The sequence below is a fragment of the Homo sapiens genome, chromosome 11 (genome assembly GCF_000001405.40).
Source record: "Homo sapiens chromosome 11, GRCh38.p14 Primary Assembly".
Lineage (NCBI taxonomy): Eukaryota > Metazoa > Chordata > Mammalia > Primates > Hominidae > Homo > Homo sapiens.
In genome coordinates this window covers 6,093,873-6,114,631 of record NC_000011.10, presented here as the reverse complement: position 1 = coordinate 6,114,631, position 20,759 = coordinate 6,093,873, and the positions used below count along the sequence as shown (strand labels likewise).

The window sequence follows — 20,759 nt, the reverse complement described above, 5'->3', positions numbered from 1 at the left end:
TAGAATATCTTTTCCCACCCTTTCCATTTCGAAGTATTTGTTTTTTATTTTAATGTGAGTCTCTTGTAGATAACCTATTATGTTTCCTTTAATCCATTTTAGCCATTTATACCTTTTAATTGGACAGTTTAATCTATTTACACCTGAAGTAATTACTGATAAGGAAGGACTTCTGTCATTTTGCTACTTGTTGTTTCATGTTTTAGATGTTTTTCATTCTCAATTATTCAGTTCTGCCCTCTGTAAAAAAATCATTATTTTTTAAAATATTTTAAATCTATAGTTTGTTGAATCCACATATATAGAACCCATGGATACAGAGGGCTGACTGTATACAAGAACTTTGTTTCTGTCTAGCTGTTTCCCTTTATCTTGTGATTATCACAAATTACATCTTTATACATTGTGTGCCCATTAACATATATTTATAATTTTGTTTATGTAATTATCTTTTAAATAACATAAATATATTACGTTCTTTATTTCTTTAAGCAAATTTGAGTTACGATTGTGTCCTTCCATTTCATTCTGAAGGATTCCCATTAACATTTTTTGTAGGGTAGCTCTACTAGCTATGGACTCTCTCTTTTTTTTTTGTTTTTGTGCCACTGGGAATGTCTTATTTTTTCCTTTACTCTTGCGCATAGTTTTGCTGGATATAGAAACATTGGTTGACCTTTTCTTTTCCCAGCAATTTTAGTACATCACCCCACTAACTTCTAGCCTCTACGGTTCCTGATGATAAGGCAGCTGTTAATCATACTGAGAATCTCTTTTATGTAATAAGTTGTTTCTCTCCTGCTGCTTTTGGGTATCTGTCTTTGTTTTTGTCTTTCTTTTTAAATTTTTCTTTTTTTTCTTTTTATTTTTGTGTTTTTGTCTTTCTAAAGTTAGATTGTAATATGTCTCAATGTACATCTCTTTGAGTTTATCCTAATTGGAATTTGTTGAGCTCTTAGATATATAGAAAAGCACACTTCAATTCCAGTATTTTTATTTTGTTTCTTTTTATAATTTCTCTCTCCTTATTAACATGCTCTGTTTGGTGGGACATTGTTCTCCTTCCTGGTTTGCTTTAGTTCTTTGTCCAAGGTTTCCTTTAGCTCACTGAGTAAATACATTTGATTTGAAGTTTTTGTCTAGTAAATCCTAATACTTGGGCTTCCTCAGACAGTTTCTATTTTTTTTTAACCCCTGTGTATTGGCTATACTTTCTTTTTTTTTTTTTGCATGCCTCATAGTTTTTGTTAAAAAGTTAACCTCTTAAATATTATAAGCAGTCCAAGCTTTTAAGTGTGTCTGTTATTTCCTGACTGTTATTCCTTCTCTCTGGTGGCAGAGGCTAACACATTCACCAGCTGTTTTTGACAAGGCCCCTAGACAGCTGCCATTCTATCCTGAGAGATTCTGAGTTAGGCAAAATAAAGGCAAGCTCTTTGCACCTGTCCTTCAGTGAACCATCAGATGGGTCAAAACACCAATAATTCTTAGAGAACAGGTCTCCTCTGCTCCTTCTGGTACCGTGAACCCACATAGGAAACATGGGATGCTGTTCTGAAGACTACCACCAAACTGGAGAAGAAGGAACAGAGCCAGAGTGAGTTAGAATGCCACAGAGGTCTCCTACTGAGATTGTCATCTTTTTTTTGATCAAGTGTTCACCTCATTGATGCAGACCTTTGACCAGTTCCATTAAAGTTCATTCTAACAATTTGTGCCTGTTTATTTGTTAGTTTGGTGGAGGGGCAGGCTCTTGGAATTTCTTAATTCACTATTCTCACTAAAGTCACTAGAGAGGATTTTATTTCCTGGTTCTGATGTGCTTGCCTGTCAGGCTTAGCTGCAGCATGTACAGTTTCTCCAATACCCAGTTCCTGCAGTACATGGCAGTCAGCAGCATCCAGTGGCCAGCAGCTTCCCCCCAGTAGCTTCCTGGGGGTGATTTTATAGCAGAGGGTCTCTGGTGAGCTATCTCCTTATGAACAACTTTCCCTAGCATCCTAGAATGTAGATTTTCAGCAAGTTTCATGAGCACAGCATGATTGCATTTTCTCTCCATTCTGTATCCTCTCCAATAAGGTCTGGATCTCAGCCCAGGGGTCCTTTATCTTAGGTAGTCTCTCTCATCTGTAGTGACAATGGCTCCTCCCTGCATCTACTATTCTTATATTCTTTAGCGTTTTCTCTACTTACTAGTCAATCTCTTGATACTCCAATCCCTTGTTATAATTAAAAATTATTTATATTAACTTTCTCCTGTTGAAATTCATGTGGTTTCTCTCTCCTGATTGGACACCAAATAATATATTGGAAGAATGAAGCATACTAGAAATTGCTATGAACAATGAATTTAGTAAAGCTTCACAGTCAAATAGAAATAAATTTTGATAATGTAGTTGTGAATATTAAAAATTCTAAGACATTTTTGAATTGGAAGCGACATGCTTTAAAAAGTAATTATGACTTAGAACTAAAATTCCAAATTATTTTAGTAAAATCCAGTGTTCTAGTTATCTATGCTTTTTAACAGATCACCCTAAAGATAGTGGTATCAAACAACACTTATTTTATCATGCTCACAGATTCTCTGTGTCAGGAATTTAAGAGCAGTGCCGTGATGATGGCATACTTCTACTTCACAAATATGCAGCCTTGGCTCAGAAGACTCAGACAGCTGGAGGTGATCAAATGGTTAGTGACTGGAATCTGTTGAAGACATCTTCACTCACATGTTAGACTTCCTGGGCTAGCATGATTCCAAGGCTGGGCTCAGCTGGGGCTGTTGACTAGAGTCCCCATACTTGGCCTTGTCATGTGGTTTAGACTTCTCATCACGTGACAGCTGGATTCTGACAGGGAGCATCCTCCAGGGAGCAACCAGGGAGCAAATTTTCCAGGAGACACAAGTGGATGCTGAATGGCTTTTTTTGGACTTCTGTCACATTCTCTTGGTTAAAAGTGAATCAGTGAGGCTCAGATTCAAGGAGAAGGGGAACTAAGTTCAATTTCTTGATACGGAATTGTTAATGTTTCACTGCAAAAGAGCATGTGAGGTGGGAGCTATTATTATGCTTGTCTTTGGAATGTGCCATATTCAGTGAGATGTTCAACAGAGAATAAAAGAGACATAAAAATGATAAAGTTCTTATCTTGAGCTTGGAATTGGAATGAGAAAATACTGCATAACTATTATGTAATTTGGGCATATTAATAAAAAAGTATAAGTTTGAATGTGTTAATAAAGTTATGCATACAACAACCTGTCAAATAGATATATTTAATAAAATGTGCAGATCAATGAAATGGGGATGTGGGGAGATGTGTGAAAGAGATCAGTTCAGCAAAAGTCAGGAGTAGGAGAAATCTGCCAGAAAACATAATAAAAATAAATAAGATGACAGGGTGAAACAAAACAAAATCATAGGAATTATAACAAATATGAATGGACTTAGTTCCCCTATTTAAAGGGAAAGTTCCTCAAATATGGTTAAAAATAAAGATCAAACTAACGGTGTTTCCAAAAGACAGACTAAAGTTAAAATATCAAAGGAATATGGAAAGAAGTGAATGAGAGAAGACAAACAGGCAAATATAGTATGACAGTATTAAAATCATATAAAGCAAAGCATATGGGCAAATATGAAATACATGACAAACATAAATAATTCATAAAAATAAAACAATGCACAATCTTTTTTTATCCTCATGGCACATATAGAGGAGAGAATAATTAATTGCATAAATCTTCCTGACTCCAAGATGAATGTTAGGTGTTTATTTATTTTCAGAAGAACTGAGACACATGTCCACAGAAGTTGTTGAGAGTGGCCTACAATTTGGGCTGCTGTGCATAGACTCATGCTATGTATTTTTGAATGAATGAATAAATAAACAAATAAATAAATAAAGGTATGTATGAATGAAAGTTTAAAGGCAGCTTTGAGGATGGCACACTATTGCCATCTACCAGAGACAGCTAAACTGCCTGAGCCTCAGTACTGCCACTTCCCAGTGGGTGAATTTATATAATTACCCAAACTTAGCCCCTATTTCTTTGTAGAAAAGAATTAATAGTAATCCTTTAACAGCTTCCTAATTAAGAGGACTGCTATGAAAATTATGTGAAATTACTCAATCCACTGTGGGAAAGTATTTTGCAAACTGTGAAGAACTCTGCAGGATTAGATGTTATTACTCTGATCCTTCAGGGTAACAAACCATGGGAGGTTGAGTTAAGTTAAAATCCTTTCTGTAATTGTCTCTCTCTTGCCTCCTCTTATTAGATGATCAGTTGCTTCCATTTGAATCACTGTCAAGAAAGAATGAAGCAGCCAATTCTTTTGGAGGAAGTTGATAGTCTCTTTTTGGGTAAGTTTCCAAGCATAACTCTTAAGAAGTCCTGTCCCGCACACAGATGACTTCCCCCTGCAGCTCTGTTATGCTGCCCAGCATGCATTACTCTGGTGAGATGAGCTGATGGTTTCTGATGTTGCTTTAGTCCTTGTGCTATTTCCTAAGAAGTTGTTTTCCAAGGTGGACTCATGTGCAAACTTCCTGAGGTCATTATTCAGACCATGGTCCAGGTATTTTCTTTGATACACATAATTCAACAGATCTATAATGCTCCCTGATTATATAATGAATTAAGCACCTACTGTGTGCAATGTTCTGACTGAGGCTCATTGAAAGTACACATGAATGGTTCTTGTACTCAAAAAGTGTGCAATTTTTTTAGGTGAGCAAACAGCAAAAATTCAGTTAGCTTTAATTAACAGGTTATTTGAAACTATTTTTATAGGGCATTTTCTAGGATCCATTTTCTTCCTTTCCTAGCAAGAAAACTGCCACATAGTTAGATTTATATTTCCATGTGTATATCTTATTTCAAAGCATGTATTCTTTATCTCTTTTGATTGTCACAGCATGTTTGCGATTTGGCTCAGCAAAATGTTATGATTTTTGTCACTTTTAATCAGAAGAATTGAAACATAGGGAGGTTTCATAAGTTGTTCAAGTTCACACAGAAATTTTGGAACAGAGCAAGACTGAGAGTAAGAATAGTGCTATGGTTTTTCAATCAGACTTCCCAGGACTTGAATCCCAGCTCTCCCACTTAGAAACTGTGCTGTCAGGGGGCAAGTTCTATAATTTCCAGTGCCTGAGTTTTCTTAGCTGGAAATTGGGAATAATATTGTACCTGCCCAAAGGGTTATTGTGAGAATTGAGTCAGATAATCTACATACATATTTTATCAAAGTTTCTGGCCTACAAGAAGTATTTAACACTTGTTAACCATTAATTCATTAATTATTGAGATTTTTTTGGGTACGAAAATTAAACTTTACTCCTTTTTAATAAACATTTATTGTTTACTTTTTATTATAAAAATTACATATGAAAAGCACATAAATATGTAAGAGTTAAATATGTGTAAATATTAAAGGCTTTGTTTTCTATTATTAGTCATATTATAATGATTTTTATGAATAACTTTTTGACTGCATTTAGACTATTTCTTTTGGATATTTTTCTAAAATAGAATTACTGGTTAAGAACATTTAAACATTTATAAACATTTTGATAAATTTTACCAAATTGCTTTTTGGTGTGTTTATAGTCCTACCAGTTGTGTAGGAAAGTGTTAATCTCGGGGTAGGCTAGCAGTAATAGTTAGAAACATTTCACTTTTTTGTTCTTACTTATTTTCCAGGTAATAGGAAATTTTCTTGTAATTTTAATATACATATTTTGATTAGTGAGGCTGACAGTTTTCATGATTTTATTGGCCATTTTTTTCCTAGGGAGTGTGGTAAGTGCAGATTATAACCCTGATCTATTGAGAACTAAAACCTCTGTCATTTCCTAACATCTTACTGGATTCCTAAAGCTGGAGTTACTTGGACACGTCCTGACCCAGTCCAAGCAGTCTCTGAAAGCCCAGTCTGAGTTTGTGCATCCTGAGTGCACAGGCCAGGGGGTTGAGTGCAGGGGGGATGACATTGTGCAGCACATTAAGGAACACAGGAATAAGGGGAATCTTTTTCTCTGCAAGGTGTGTGACAGACAGCACAATGATACCTGTGTGGAAGAGGATGAGGATGAGGTGGGAGCTACAAGTGCTCAGAGCCTTGGACATTGCTTCTGCTGAGTTCAGCCTCAGCACAGAGTGAAGGATTACAGCATAGGAAGAAAATACCAGAGCCATATCACTCCCAACCAAGACCCATGCTAGCATCAGTTGGTAAAATTTGTTCACAGTGATGTCATCACAAGCCAGGCTGATAACCCCCAAGTTAGAGCAGAGGCAGTGCTCGATTTCATTCCTGGAACAGTAGTGTCTCTGGGCAGCCAGTATAGGCACTGGGATGGTCAACAGGCCATTCCTGAGCATGATGAACCCTGTGGCTTTGAAGACAAAAGCTTTAGTGACTATGGAGGGGTACTGAAGAGGGCGACAGATGGCTATGTATCTGTCTACTGCCATGCAGAGAAAGATGCCTGACTCTATGCAGAAGAAGCAGTGGATGGCATAGATCTGAGCAAAACACATGGGGAGGCTAATGGCCTTGGCATCAAACCAGAAGATGGCCAGGATCTTGGGCATGATGGTGGTGGCCAGGCCAATGTCCACCACTGCTAATATGCCCAGCAAATGGTACATGGGTTCATGTAGCACGGTCTCATGTTGAATGGTGATTATGATGAGGAGATTGGCACCAAGAGCTAAGAGGTAGAGCAGAGTCAGGGGCAGGGAGAGCCAGTGCTGCCACTCATGAATGCCTGGTAATCCCATCAGGATGAACTGGGAAATCTGGAGGCTGGAGTCATAGGTAACACTGGTGGAGGTATCCATGGAATGGGTGCCTCAGTCTCAGTGTCTGTCTGAAATAGAAGAAATCTCTGTTTAAAAGTTCAGCTAAGGGGCTGAGCATCGTGGTTCATGCCTGTAATCCCAGCACTTTGGGAGGCTGAGACAGGCAGATAATTTGAGGTCAGGAGCTCGAGACTGACCTGGCTAACATGGCAAAATCTCATCTCTGCGGAGAATACAAAAATTAGCTGGGTGTGGTGGTGCCTGTCTGTAATCCCAGCTACTTGGGAGGCTGAGGCATGAGAATCATTGAACCTGGGAGGCGGAGGTTGCCGTGAGCCGAGATTGTGCCACTGCACCCCAGCCTGGACAACAGAGTGAGACCCTGTCTTAAAAAACAAAACAAAACAAAAAGTTAAGTGTCTTGGTAAGAGCTCCTCAATAATGAACCAGCTCCTTTTATTCATGAATGACCCTCAACTTTATTTGACTTCTGGAAATATTCCACAGAGGAATAACAAAAAAAGCAAAAAAATTCTAAACAGAAGAGTTGGAATAACTATTTTTCATCACCACTTGTATGTCTAATAAGCATGTCCACATATATTAACAACAGTCTTATCACTAACAGATAACAAATGTTAGTATTTGATTTATTTCCAATTTTCTATTTTATTTTTAAACAGTCTACATCATTATCTAGAGATGATTTTGTATCTTGTTTTTGTCTTTTAGCAGTATGTGTTAAGATGTAATATAAGCACTCAAAAATTTTATTTCATGGATGAATACATTAACCAAAGACTTCACAATATTATTTAAAAAGTGTGATGTTAATTTTAATTGCTGCTTTAAATTTTTGCATTTGGCTATTCTATAATTTACTGACAGGTATTTTGCTTTTAATATTGTTTTCCTTGAGTAGAGTTTCAAAAGTGATGCAAAAATTATATATACAAAGGATATAATAGTCTTAAAATTTTAAATATAATTTTGATTTTATTTTAAGATATATTATCTATACATGGTAAAAATCAAAATAAAATGAAAAATATAAACAATGAAAAGTAAGACTCTCATGCTTGGGGCTTTGAAATCTTTTTCCTTTTCACTAGAGGCAGCCAGTAATATGTTTCTTGGGAATCCTTCCATTAATAGTTTATGCATGGATAAAAACATATATATATATATATATATATATATATAATTTTCATAAAAGACATAATCAATTGTTAGCACACCTTTCTCCTTTTTTCTTTCCTTTTCTTTTTTAACTTAATATTTTGAAGACTGCTCCATATTTCCATACTGCAGTTAAGTTGCATTATTTTCTACCACCTAGATGCCCTATAGTTTAATGATTTTTTTTTGTATTTTTAGAATTGATATATCATATTTGTAGATATTTTGGAGGTACATGTGATATTTTGATACATGTATACAATGTGTAATGATCGAATCAGTGTAATTAGGATATCCATCACCTCAAGCATTTATCTTTTCTTTGTGTTAGGAACATTGCAATTCTCTTTTAGCGATTTTGAAACATACAGTAAATTATTAACTATAATTTTCCTACTGTGCTATTGAATACTAGAACTTATTTCTTCCACCTAACTGTATTTTTGTCCCCATCAGCCACCCTCTATTCTTCCCCTACCCCCACCCTTTCCGGCCTCTGGTAACCACCATTCTATTCATTACTTCTGTGAGATCCACTTTTTTTCTTTTTCCGGCTCACTGCAAACTCCACCTCCCAGGTTCAAGCGATTCTCCTGCCTCAGCCTCCCGAGTAGCTGGGATTACAGGTGTGTGCCACCACACCCGGCTAATTTTTGTATTTTTAGTAGAGATGGGGTTTCACCATGTTGGCGAGGCTGGTCTCAAACTCCTGACCTCAGGTGATCTGCCTGCCTTGGCCTCCCAAAGTGCTGGGATTACAGGCGTGAGCCACCGTGCCCAGCTGAGATCCACTTTTTAAGCTCCCAAACATGTGTAGGAACATGTAATATTTGTCTTTCTCTACTTGATTTATTTCACTTAACACAATAACCTCCAGTTCCATTCATGTTTCTGCAAATGACAGGATTTTATTCCTTTTTGTGGCTGAATAATAGGCCACTGTGTGTGTGTGTGCGTATCACATTGGATATATATATACACTCTCTATACTATATACAGTGTGTGTATATATAGTGTGTATGTATCTATATATATCTCTCTCTATATATCTCATATTTTCTTTATCCATTCATCCATTCATGAACACTTAGGTTGATTCCATATGTTCGCTATTGTGAATAGTGCTGCAATAAACATGACAGTGCAGATATCTCTTCTATTTACTGATTTCCTTTCTTTTGGATATAAACCCAGCAGTGAAGTTGCTGTACCATATGGTAGTTCTCTTTTTAGTTTTTTTGACGAACCTCCATATTGTTTTCCATAATGGCTGTACTACTTTACAATCCCACCAACAGTGTACAAACATTCCCCTTTCTCTGCACCTTTGCTTGCACTTTCATATTTTTGATAATAGCCATTCTAACTGGAATGAGATGATATCTCTTGTGGTTTCGATTTTCATTTCCCCAATGATTAGTGATGTTGAGCAGTTTTTAATATAGCTATTCACCATTTGTATGTCTTCTTTTGACATATCTGTTCAGATATTCTGCTTTTTTTTTTTTTTTTTTTTTTGAGACGGAGTCTTGCTCTGTCGCCCAGGCTGGAGTGCAGTGGCACAATCTGGGCTCACTGCAAGCTCTGCCTCTGGCCTCAGCCTCCCCAGTAGCTGGGACTACAGGCGCCCACCACCATGCTTGGCTAATTTTTTGTATTTTGGGTTTCACTCTGTTAGCCAGAATGGTCTCAATCTCCTGACCTAGTGATCCACCCGCCTCGGCTTCCCAAAGTGCTGGAATTACAGGCGTGAGCCACCGCACCCAGCCTCTGCTTCCTTTTTAGTTGGATTATCTGTTTTTTTCTAGTGAGTTTCATATATATTCTGGTTATTAATCCCTTGTCAGAGATTTTGCAAATATTTTCTCCCTTTCTCTCCTCATAAATTGTTTTTCTTTCAGTAAACATGTGAGTTTGAAACAGAAGGAAGTTTGCAAGAAAACATCAAAAAGTTATCAGACATGTTTCTTCCTCCAATAGGTGTCAGTTGGCCCACGGAAAAATCCACCCATAAAAAGTAAATGTAAGCTCACTTTCTTAAAGATTCTGTAGGTTGTATATTTGTTGGGCTTTTAATCTGTTTCCAGCATTTTCTACTATAAAAAATGAAGCTGTGAATGTACTTTTTCTTGTATCTTTATGCATATGTATAAGTTTCTCCACATAATAATTTCCAAGAACTGAACTGCTGGGTCAAATGGAATGAAACGATATTGATTTGACAAGACAAATTGTCTTTTAAAGAGGTTATTCTGACCCTGTATGAAAGTATGGGGATTTTGAATGCTCTTGATGTATACTAAAATGATGTATACTAAAATAGGTACATTGTAGTACTTTACACACACAGAATTTGTTCATGAGTGTGTCTGTTTCATCATGTCCATGCCAAAACTGGGAATTTTAATTTAAAATATTTATTAATTATTCTATTAATATAATAGAATGAAAATTGATATATCAATTTTGTTTTAGTGTTCACTTCATTGTTTAGTAAATTTTAATTTTCAAGCACTCATTTTCCATTTATAAGCTTACTCATTAATTTTCTATTTTATCTTATTGTCTATTTGTTATTTATCCAATTTGTCTTGTAGTACTAAAGAAAATAATGTTTTTAAAGTGCTTACCATTGCAGTATATACTACTTGGGTGATGGATGCACCAAAATCTCAGAAATTACCACTAAAGAACTTATCCATGTAACCAAACACCACCAGTTCCCCCAAAACTATTAAAATATTAACAATAAAAATAAAAATAGTAAAGTGCTTACCATGGAGTCTGGCAGCACAACCTTATTAATATGTATGAGTTTCACTATATCTTGAGAATATGACTTCTTTTTAAAGATTATTATGGTTAAGAATTTTATTATCAAAATTATTACATCTCAGAAAGTTCAAATGTTACAGCAATGTGTAAACACTCCACATGAGAAAAAAGAGCTACTTCTTCACTCCCAAAAGTTCCCCCCACCTCCTTTGCCCTGACCTCCCCCTGGAAATTTGGTCTTGACAGCACCCTGCCCACACAGAGTGGCTGGGGTCTCTGTCACTGCTAGGCAGGGTGAGGTCCGCTTGCCCACTGGCCTCTCCCTTTGGTTAACAGCCAAGGGTACAATGCAAACCCCAGCCCAAATGAAGAGACATTTACATACATTTTATATAATATAGCATCCCAAGCAGCATGATTTCTTCTTCCAATGCTCTCCCAGACTGATGGGTTTGTGGGGGAAACAAAAAGAAAAGTACTCTGCTGAGCATTAAAAAAAAAAACAACTCCCCTCATTTGAGCAGACACCTGAATTTAATTTTGAAAACTGAAATTTTATAACAGTCACACACAAAGAGAGAAGGCTGTTCATATGATAGTTGTAGGACAAAGTAGAAAAGAAAGGGATGCAAGAGGCTAGGGGGAAAAATGAAGAGAAAAGAAGTTAGAGGGGATGAAGGAGGGAGATTCACAGTATTATCTTGTTATTCACTACCCCTCCCATGGTTATAACTAAATACAAAATTATAAAAAACATCAGATATTACAGTAAACAAGTGAAAGAAATAAGCTGGCAACCATACAAAATTTGAAAAGATTGTGTACCTAACCTGGTCTGGCCCTAGGGCTCCTCTAGAGGTGTACAGCATGGGGAGAAGCCGGTCCGTTCTCGTCTCCCATCTAGGACAGTGTTAGGGGTGTGGGTGGCTTGGTAACTCTTTCACCAGGCCCACTCTCACATAAGCATCCCCCGAAGAAATGTGGGGCAGCCCACACACAATCAGTCCTGTTGGTGCCACTCCACAAACCTGTCTTCCCACCTTACCCTACAGACACAGTACATGCTCCTCAATCATGCAGATAGTCGTGCTCATGGCATTGTCAACTCCTGATTAATCGGGAGTAGAAAAAGTAAAATTCAGAGCATTTCCAGACCACTTGGTATCCTTCCCAATCAAATTTATAGCCAAAAGCTTGTAAGTAGCAGTGCAATTGGCCTATATTCGTCTCATAAGGATATTACCTCTATCTGTTGAATTTTCTGGGAAATTTTCCTCCAATTCATTTTCTGTTAAATTCTATTTATCCTTTAAAAATGTATTATGCACATGCAAACATTTAATTTTTTTTTTTTTTTTTTAAAGACAGGGTCTATTTCACTCAGGCTGGAGTGCAGTGGCATGATCACGGCTCACTGCAGCCTTGACCTCATGGGCCCAAGCAATCTTCCCACCTCAGCCTCCTGAGTAGCTGGGACTACAGGCGTGAACCACCAGGCTTGGCTAATTTTTGTATTTTTCTGTAGAGATGATGTTTCACCATATTGCTCAGGCTGGTCTCAAACTCCTGGGCTCAAGTGATCTGCCCGTCTTGGCCTCCCAAAAAGCTGGGACTACAGACATGAGCCACTGCACCAGGCTACATTTAAACTTTTATGTAGTCCTAACATTTGCACTTTTAAAATTAATTATTTCATGACTAGTAAGCTTTTAATAATGTAAACTCAGTTTTGTTTTTGTTTTTTTTTTTTTTTGAAACAGTCTTGCTCTGTTGCCCAGGCTGGAGAGCAGTGGCATGATCTCAGCTCACTGCAACCTCTGATCCCGGGTTTAAGCAATTCTCCTGCCTCAGCCTCCGAAGTAGCTGGGACAACAGGCGTGCAGCACCACGCCCAGCTAATTTTTGTATTTTTAGTAGAGAGAGGGTTTCACTATGTTGGCCAGGATTGTCTCGATCTCTTGACCTCAGGATCCGCCTGCCTCGGTCTTCAAAAGTGCTGGGATCTCCCAAAGTGTTGGGATTACAGGCGTGGGCCAACACACCCTGCCAAATTCAGTATTTCAATAACCATTTGTTTGCATTTTCTTTATAAAAATTTATTAAAAAAATAATTTTTAACTGATAAAGCGAGAAAGTCTCTAAATTAATATTCCCCCGCAAATAACTAGACCATTGTTCCAGTACCATTCAGTAAATAACCCCTCTCTTCCCCATTAGTTTGCAATGCCCTTTTTTTGTCATATATTAAATTTTAAAATATATTCAAAGATCACTGCCTGCCTGCACAATCTTTTCTGGTTTTAGTGCATGTACCAATTGAATTAGTTTATTTGCTATTTTGTAGAAGAGATTCTTATTACTAACTTCAAATAACTTTTTAAAAATTAATAAAAAACTGGTTGTAATTTTTTGAGTATTATATTAAAACATGTAAATCAATTATGGAAGAAGTGATGTCATTATCTCATTGATTCTTTCCATTCAGAAGTATTATGTTTTTCCTTTCTGTCATAGGTATTTTTGGATTTTTTTTTCCATTATTGTTACCTTCTCCCTCCATTATACTTTCTAATTGGCTATTGTTACCTAAGAAACCTGATTATTATAATTTTAAGGAAATGTTTTCCAAAATACAGTTATTTTACAGTAGTACTTTCCAAAGCTAGCAGCTTTTTATTAAATTATTGTCTCTTGCAAATTTTCTGTTTTTGGAAGAAAAATGTATTACCTATCATTACGATAGTTTTGAATAATGTACACTTTTATTTTTATTTTGCATATTATTACAATATTTAGAATTTTCAAAACTATACAAAAGAAATGGTGATAGTCAACATCTATTCTAGCTCTGAACTTTAAACCCTCTCTAGAGCTCTCTCTCCTACGGCACTGGCTAGTCCTTTTCTGGTAAACGTTTTTATTTATTTAGGTGATTTGATGTTTATTTCTAGTTCTTAATTTTTTTTTTAATTGGGCATTGATGAAATCAATAACTATTTTCGGGAGTCTCAAATGTGTGATTTAAGTGGCAGGATCTCCTGCTTTCACCATTCCTTCAGTATTTATAGAGCTCTTCCTCTGTGTCAGACTCCATGAGGCAGGAGTGTGTACTTCCACTGGTAGGGAAGTTTCCAGCATGTCCAGAAAAGACCTCAGATTCATTTTTCTCACTTTTTTCTCACTTTTTCTCCAGGTCTCAGGTCTTTGTCTCTGCACAGGTGAGGATCTTGAGGGAAAAGAGGGCCAGAGTTGGAAGGATCAAACTGAGAAAGCCAGGGAGGAAGGAGAAAAAAAGGCAGCAGCAACCAAGACAGAGACCTATGAACAGAAAAGGAAACAGCTTCTCATCTCTGGCCTCTTGGTTCCTCCCTGCTAGGAGATCCAGGACAGATCCTTTCTAAATGGAATTGCTTTCTGTGGCTGCTTCTGTTCTCTTGGCTACACCTCTCTTTTATCACTTTGTTGCTGAGAGTACGTCTCATTCTCTCCCGTGGGGTTTGGGCTATTGAACAAATTGGAGCACCAAGATGCCCTGGACCTTCTTTGCTACTCCCTATGTGCTCCATGAGGCTTCCTCTAATTTTCTTCCTGTGTGCCTCAATACTTGGAGTTTTCTCATCACCACCCCAAGTGACCTCCCCATGATTTTAGAGGAGTATCAGACTCAACTTAGGGAACAGAATTACTCAGCCCCTAGTCCCATGGGAAGCACTCTTAGATAGTCTTCTGTGTCATGATGAAGGGTTGGGAGGAGGTGTCCCTCCTTCTGGTGTGAATCCCTGAATGTCTGTTCCTCTCCCCAATACAAACAGCTCAATTCAGCCTCTTCAGGAGCCATTTTCCAGTGGATGTATTTTCTAGTCTATACTTCATGTTTTACCACTTCCTTTATCGTGGGTTTTCTCTCCATATACACACATATATAAAATGCAGATGCCCCCTTTGTTGGCTATTTCCTGTCTGTCTCTCCAGATGTCTTTCCCACCTTGCTCTGTATCCACAGAGTTTAAAATCTACGGCCTCTGGTTTATTGTTGGATTTGGCCAGGGGGAGGCACTGGTGGGAGATCAGAGGGCAGCAGGGACTATAAGTAGAGGATTTATTTTTCTGACTCTCTTCCTATTGGCTCACTGTTTGACAGTGCCTGTGTTTCTCTACTAAAAACCACTGATCCTGTCAGGTGGTTCCCCTCTGCATAGCTCCTGTCAGTATTAAGAACTATTTCTTCCCACTGCTTTTCAGGCTTAGAAATGGCAATGGCTGTTTAAAAATTATTTGTGTGTGTGTGTGTGTGTGTGTGTGTGTGTGTGTATGTATGTATGTGTGTGTGTGTATATATATATATATATATATATATATATATTTGAGGTGTATAGCATACTTTGATATATATATGCATGTTGATTATTAACAGTGAGGCAAATTAACATTCCACCATCTCATGTAGCAACTTTTCTGTTTTTTTTTTTTTGGTTTTGTTTTTTGTTTTGGTGGTAGGAGGACCTAAAATCTACTCTCTGGAGCTCCAGAGTTTGGTGCATATATATTTAGGATTGTAATATCTTCTTGTTGGATTGATCCTTTTATTGTTATATAATGACCTTCTTTGCCTTTTTTTTTTTTTTTACTGTTGCTGCATTAAAGTCTGTTTTATCTGATATAAGAATAGCTGCTCCTGTGGACTGTTGGTTTTCATTTGCATGCAATATCTTTTTCCATCTCTTTACCTTGTGTCTATAAGAATCCTTATGTGTTAGGTGAGTCTTTTAAAGACAGTAAATATTTGGTTTGTGAATTTTTATCTATTTTATCAATCCATATCTTTTAAGTGAAGCATTTAGACCATTTACACTCAACATTAATATTGAGATGGAAGGTACTGTTCCATTCATCATGTCGATTGTTACTTAGATACATTGTTTTCTTCATTGCATTATGGTTTTATAGGCCCTGTGAGTTTTATGCTTTCAAGAGGTTCTATTCTGATGCATATTGACTTTTGGTTTCAGGATTTAGAACTTCTTTTAACATTTTTATAGAGCTGGTTTGGTGGTGACAAGTTCTCTCAACATTTGCTTGTCTGAAAAATACTTTATTTCTTATTTATGAAACTTAGCTTTTCTGGATACAAAATTCTTGACTGACAGTTACTCTGTTTAGGAAGGCTAAAGATAGGACCTCAATCCCTTCTGGCTGAGGTTTCTGCTGAGAAGGTTTCTGCTGAGAAGTCTACTGTTGGTCTCATAGGTTTTCTATTACAGGCTACCTGATGGTTTTGTCTTACTGCTCTTAGAATTTTTTCCTTCACATTGACTTTGGATAGCCTGATAATTATATGCCTTGGTGATATCTTTTTTCCAGTGAATCTCCTAGGAGTTCTTTGGGCTTCTTGTATTTGGATGTCTAAATCTCTAGCATGGACAGGGAAGTTTTCCTCAATTATTTCCTCAAATAATTTTTCCAAACTTTCTGCTTGTTATTCTCCTTCAGGAATACCAATGATTCTTAAGTTTGGCTATTTTACATAATCCCATATTTCCTTAAGACTTTGCTAATTTCTTCTCTTTATTTCTTTATTTTTGTCTGATTGGGTTAATTCAAAAACCTTTTCTTCAAGCTCTGAAATTATTTATTCTACTTCACGTAGTTTGTGTTTAAAAATTTTCTACTGCATTTTGTAATTACATAAATGTGTCTTTCATTTCCAGAAGTTCTGATTGGTTTTTCTTTAAAATATCTATCTCCTTAGCAAGTTTTTCCTTCATATTGTGAATTTTTAGATTTATTTGTTGGTTTTTACCTTTCTATTGTTTCTTCTTGAGTAACTTAATAATCAACCTTTTGAATTCTTTATCTTGCATTTAAAGGATTTCATGTTGAGTCGGATCCATTGCTGGAGAGCTAATGTGATCTTTTGGGAGTGTTATACAACCCTGTTTTGTCATACTGCCAGAATTACTATTCTGGTTCCTTCTCATTTGGGTACACGATTTTTTTCTAATTAATTTTTGAATTTATTTTGGATTCAGCTGGTTTTTGTAGTTTCTTTTTTTCCCCTTGAGGATGTGAGTTTAATGATTATAGTTTTTGTAACCTAATTTGGCTCTGGGTGCTTTCTGGAATGAAGACTCTGTACAAGTTCCGTGGTTATAGAGAGTCTTTGTATAATGGCTTTTTCAGATGCAGGTTGCAGTAGCAATGTGTTTGGTGTGTGAGCAGGTTCGCTGTCTCCTGTGGGTTTGGAATGATAGAGATCTCTTGAAGCTTATCTTGTTCCCCAGTAGTGTACACTATTTTTAATTTATTTTCCTCCCAATATTTTATTTACTGGGTTGAACAGCTCAGGCTTCAGGGCAGTAGGGGAGGTGTCCATAGGTAAAAACTTGCTTGGATAAAGCAGGTGGGTAAATACAATACCCCATGATGGGCAGAGGTTCCAGCCTTGACAGAGGCAGCTGGGGGAGTTCTCAGTGAAAAGCACTGAAGTCTTTTCAGGGGAAAGGGAGGGAGCTGCCTCAGCTCCCCTGCCAGGCCAGCAAGAAAGTCTTTCACCTCCTGGTCACACTCCTGACCCAGTGAGCTGGCTATTCAGATCAGACAGGCACCACTTTTCATCTGCAATGATGTTGATATTCCATTTAGAGAGGGATTGGGACTCTATCCCCTCATAGCAATCCTGAACCTGGAGGGCAATTCTCCTATGGGTATGTAGTCACTTTGAAGTGTTCCTGAAAGGTCGACAACACGTGCAACCACACTGAGATCTCATGGGAGAAACTCTATCTGTGCCTGCCATGGTGAGTGATGGGGAGAAAAGTGTCTTTTTCCAAGAACTTTCACGAGCACCAGGGTTGCCTGACTATTAGGGTAGAGCCACAGGCCTTCTCCACTAAACCCAGCACTGCACCTATGCCTCTGCTGAAAGAAACTTCCCATAAGTGGAATGTTCTGGGACTCAAGACCTGCCATCTGATTTTTTTTTTTGTCCCATGGGGTACTCCCTTGATGTTGTGCACTCCTTCTTCCCCTAGAATTAGAAGTTTCTGGGGGCTGGACTACTGTGAATGCTGCTGGTCCTCTTGGTGCAGCCAGCCAGTGGGGCTGCCACATTCCAGGACAGCGCTGGGAAATGTCTGCAAGAGATCTAGTTATGTGACCTCTCCTCAAGTCTCCCAGAAGCGGGTACCAGCAGCAAGTCTGATGCAGGTGGCCAGGAAGTGATGTAGGCTCTGTGATATTCTTGGTTATAAATAGCCTTGGTGTGTTGGCTTTCTCAAATGCCAGCTGTAGTAGTAATGAACTGGTCATGTGGACAGACTCAGGACCTCCTGGTTATCCAGGGTAATGCAGGCAATAGTGATAGCTGAGGTCACATACAAGTTTTCTCCTTCTTGGGCACTGTTATTCTGCCTGCAGATGCTGTAATGGACTGTGTTGGTTGGCTTCCATCCAGGAAATGGCACTTGGAAAAGAACATCAGCTGCAGAGGTAGCGGTGGAATTTGTGCTTGCCTTATGTTACCCAGGAGAGATACTGTGGTGTCTCAGGGAATGGATAGGTACATAAAGTTCTTTAAAGGTTCTGTCCTTTGTGTTAAGCTACCAAGGCAGGTGGAGAGGCAAAGCCAGGTGGGGAGGCAAAGCCAGTGGGGGCTGGGTCAGATAAATCCATGCTCTGTCTCTCCACATGCAGGCACAATCAGTGGCCCCATTGAGAATTGGAGGGATTTTTCTGTAGCCACTGTGGTAATGTTCCAGGGAGGAGCACATCTGTCTCTTCTGCACAAAATACTCCACACAGAGAGTGGGGATTAGCAGGTGGCAATAAGCCCCACCCAGCTCCCATATGCATAGCAAGGCAGGTCTCATACCCTCAGTGTTCCACTAGCATCAGCTAGCTAGGTTCCAGGCAGTCTGCACTGAGAACTCAAAACTGCCCCAGGCCACAAGCCTTCCAGGGGGGAGACAGAAACTGCAGCTTTCAGGTCATGCCCCTCCCAGTATGCCCATGAATCCGGGGCACCCAGTTTCTATGCAGGTAGCTACAACCCACTTCCCACTCGCCCCTCAGTTCAGGCCAAGGAAGTTTGTCCACACTTGAGATTATATCATGAAGCTCAGTTGGGAGGTTCTCTCAACATGTGACTGCTGCCTGAGTTAACTGGCTGACTTCTATGGGGTCCCCTGTGAGGTAAGTCCTAGAGTGGCTTCTTTCCATCACCTCTGGAGACTGGGAGTGCATGTAAAGCACGTTCTGATGTTGCTCCTTCTCATATACTCTGGACTGCTCGCTAAGCTCCAGCGCTGGGTAGGGTTAAGGCCTTCCCCTGTGGTCTGGATTGCCAGGTTCTCCAGTGGGAATTTATATCCCGAAGGCAGTTTATTCCCCTCTCACACTCCGGGGATTTACAGTTTTCTGCCTGGATCACAGTGTAGGCTGTAGCCCACCACTTCTTTCAGAGGGTCTGTGGTTTTCTTCAGTTTTTCTGTTAAATTCCAGTGTTGCTTCTTGGAAAAAAGTTCACAGCATGAATCTCTACTCACTGTTTTTCCTTTCCAAGTGGGAGAGGCATGCTAACAATGCCTCCAGTCTGCCATCTTGGAGATATTATTGGATGGAATTGTGTTTCTCTTTTCATCATTACTTTAAATTGTCAGATAGCAGCAACTGTGCCTGTTTTATTCACTGTTTTATTCCTAGTATCTTTCAGGGTAGCAAGCTGATAATAGATGTTCAATAAATATTAAGTTGGAGTCATATTTTCTCTTAGCTGCCATAATGCCATATCTTCACACTTTGTTATGTATAATAATATACAGTAAACATATTGATATTGAATCCAAATACTTTAATAAACTCTCTTTTTAATGCTACCAAATTCAGTGCCACACATTTTCATTTGAGATAGTAGTTGCGTTTGAGAGGTAACTAGAAAACAAATGAAAATTAAGGACTCTTCATTTTCATTTGTTTTCTAGTTACCTCTCAAATGCAAGTACTGTCCAGTGTTCTGGTCTCTCTTCAACCCACATTATTTTCTTTGGTAATATCCATTGCTATGACTGACAATAAACATCAACCAGAAATTATTGAAAACTTTTATGGAGACATATTTCTATGCCAATTTGTTTTGTACTTTGTCTGTCCTATCAAGGGATGGGCTTTTTTATCTGTTCCTTGAAGGGGATTGATTCATGATGCTAGAAATCAGATAATAAAACTTGTACATATATAGGTGTTAAGTCCATTTAAAGTATCAAGTCCAGGCTGGATGGTGGAGATTAAGAAGATGGCACAAATCCTGAAAGAGAAAGGTTCAGGTTATTAGGAAAGAAAGAATTCATAAGACAGAGGTTGAGTATAACATCTGTGGATATTTTGGAGATTAGTTACTATGGACTGTGGTGACAAAAAAATCTCGTCTTATTAACTTCCTGTATGAGTAGTGTTGAAACAGAAATTATGTTTTTAAAGGAAGTTTGAATTTCCTGATTTATGACAATCTTATCTATTGAGTGAGAGGCCCACATCCTACATATGAGTATAAAGAAACTCTGTAAAGCCCTACAAACTAAAGAGTGCCCCTTTCTTCCTATCACTCAGACTTAATAAGATACAATAAAATTTTGAAAATAAACTGGCTAAGATTTGTATGGCCAGGCATTTTGATCCAAGCCTTCATGAGTGTTAAGAGTTACAATCAATAGAAAACTTGGGACTATTGGCTTGTGAAAAAATAAAGGGCAGATTCATGAAAATTGCTTATACTCTAATGCCTTCCCATCAGCATGATATTCATAAATTTGATAATATATAATGAGATTATTGTGATTTCATTCACATGTTTGAAAATTCCTATTGACATATCTGGAAAAGCTAACCTATAATCTGTAGCCTGGTGACAGGTTTTACATCAAAGTTCATTAGAGAACAAGATTGAAGAATTCATACTATGCAAGTAAGATATATTATTAAGCTACAATAATTAACA

At 37.9% G+C, this 20,759-nt stretch overlaps 1 protein-coding gene and 1 long non-coding RNA gene across 2 annotated transcripts; one reads left to right on the top strand and one right to left on the bottom strand.

Annotated features, from left to right (window-relative positions):
- Positions 1–2,582: 2,582 nt before the first annotated feature.
- Positions 2,583–10,645, top strand: LOC124902622 (uncharacterized). The gene is made up of 3 exons (XR_007062565.1): positions 2,583–2,691; positions 4,284–4,368; positions 9,895–10,645. It is a non-coding gene; the product is annotated as an uncharacterized LOC124902622 (long non-coding RNA).
- Positions 5,797–6,948, bottom strand: OR56B4 (olfactory receptor family 56 subfamily B member 4). The gene has a single exon (NM_001005181.2). The coding sequence runs from the start codon at positions 6,851–6,853 to the stop codon at positions 5,894–5,896; it is 960 nt and encodes a 319-aa protein (NP_001005181.1). The 5' UTR covers positions 6,854–6,948; the 3' UTR covers positions 5,797–5,893.
- Positions 10,646–20,759: the final 10,114 nt, after the last annotated feature.

Bases quoted from the DNA above. Each gene is read 5' to 3' on its own strand.
- OR56B4 (NM_001005181.2), bottom strand. From the start codon at position 6,853: ATGGATACCTCCACCAGTGTTACCTATGACTCCAGCCTCCAGATTTCC.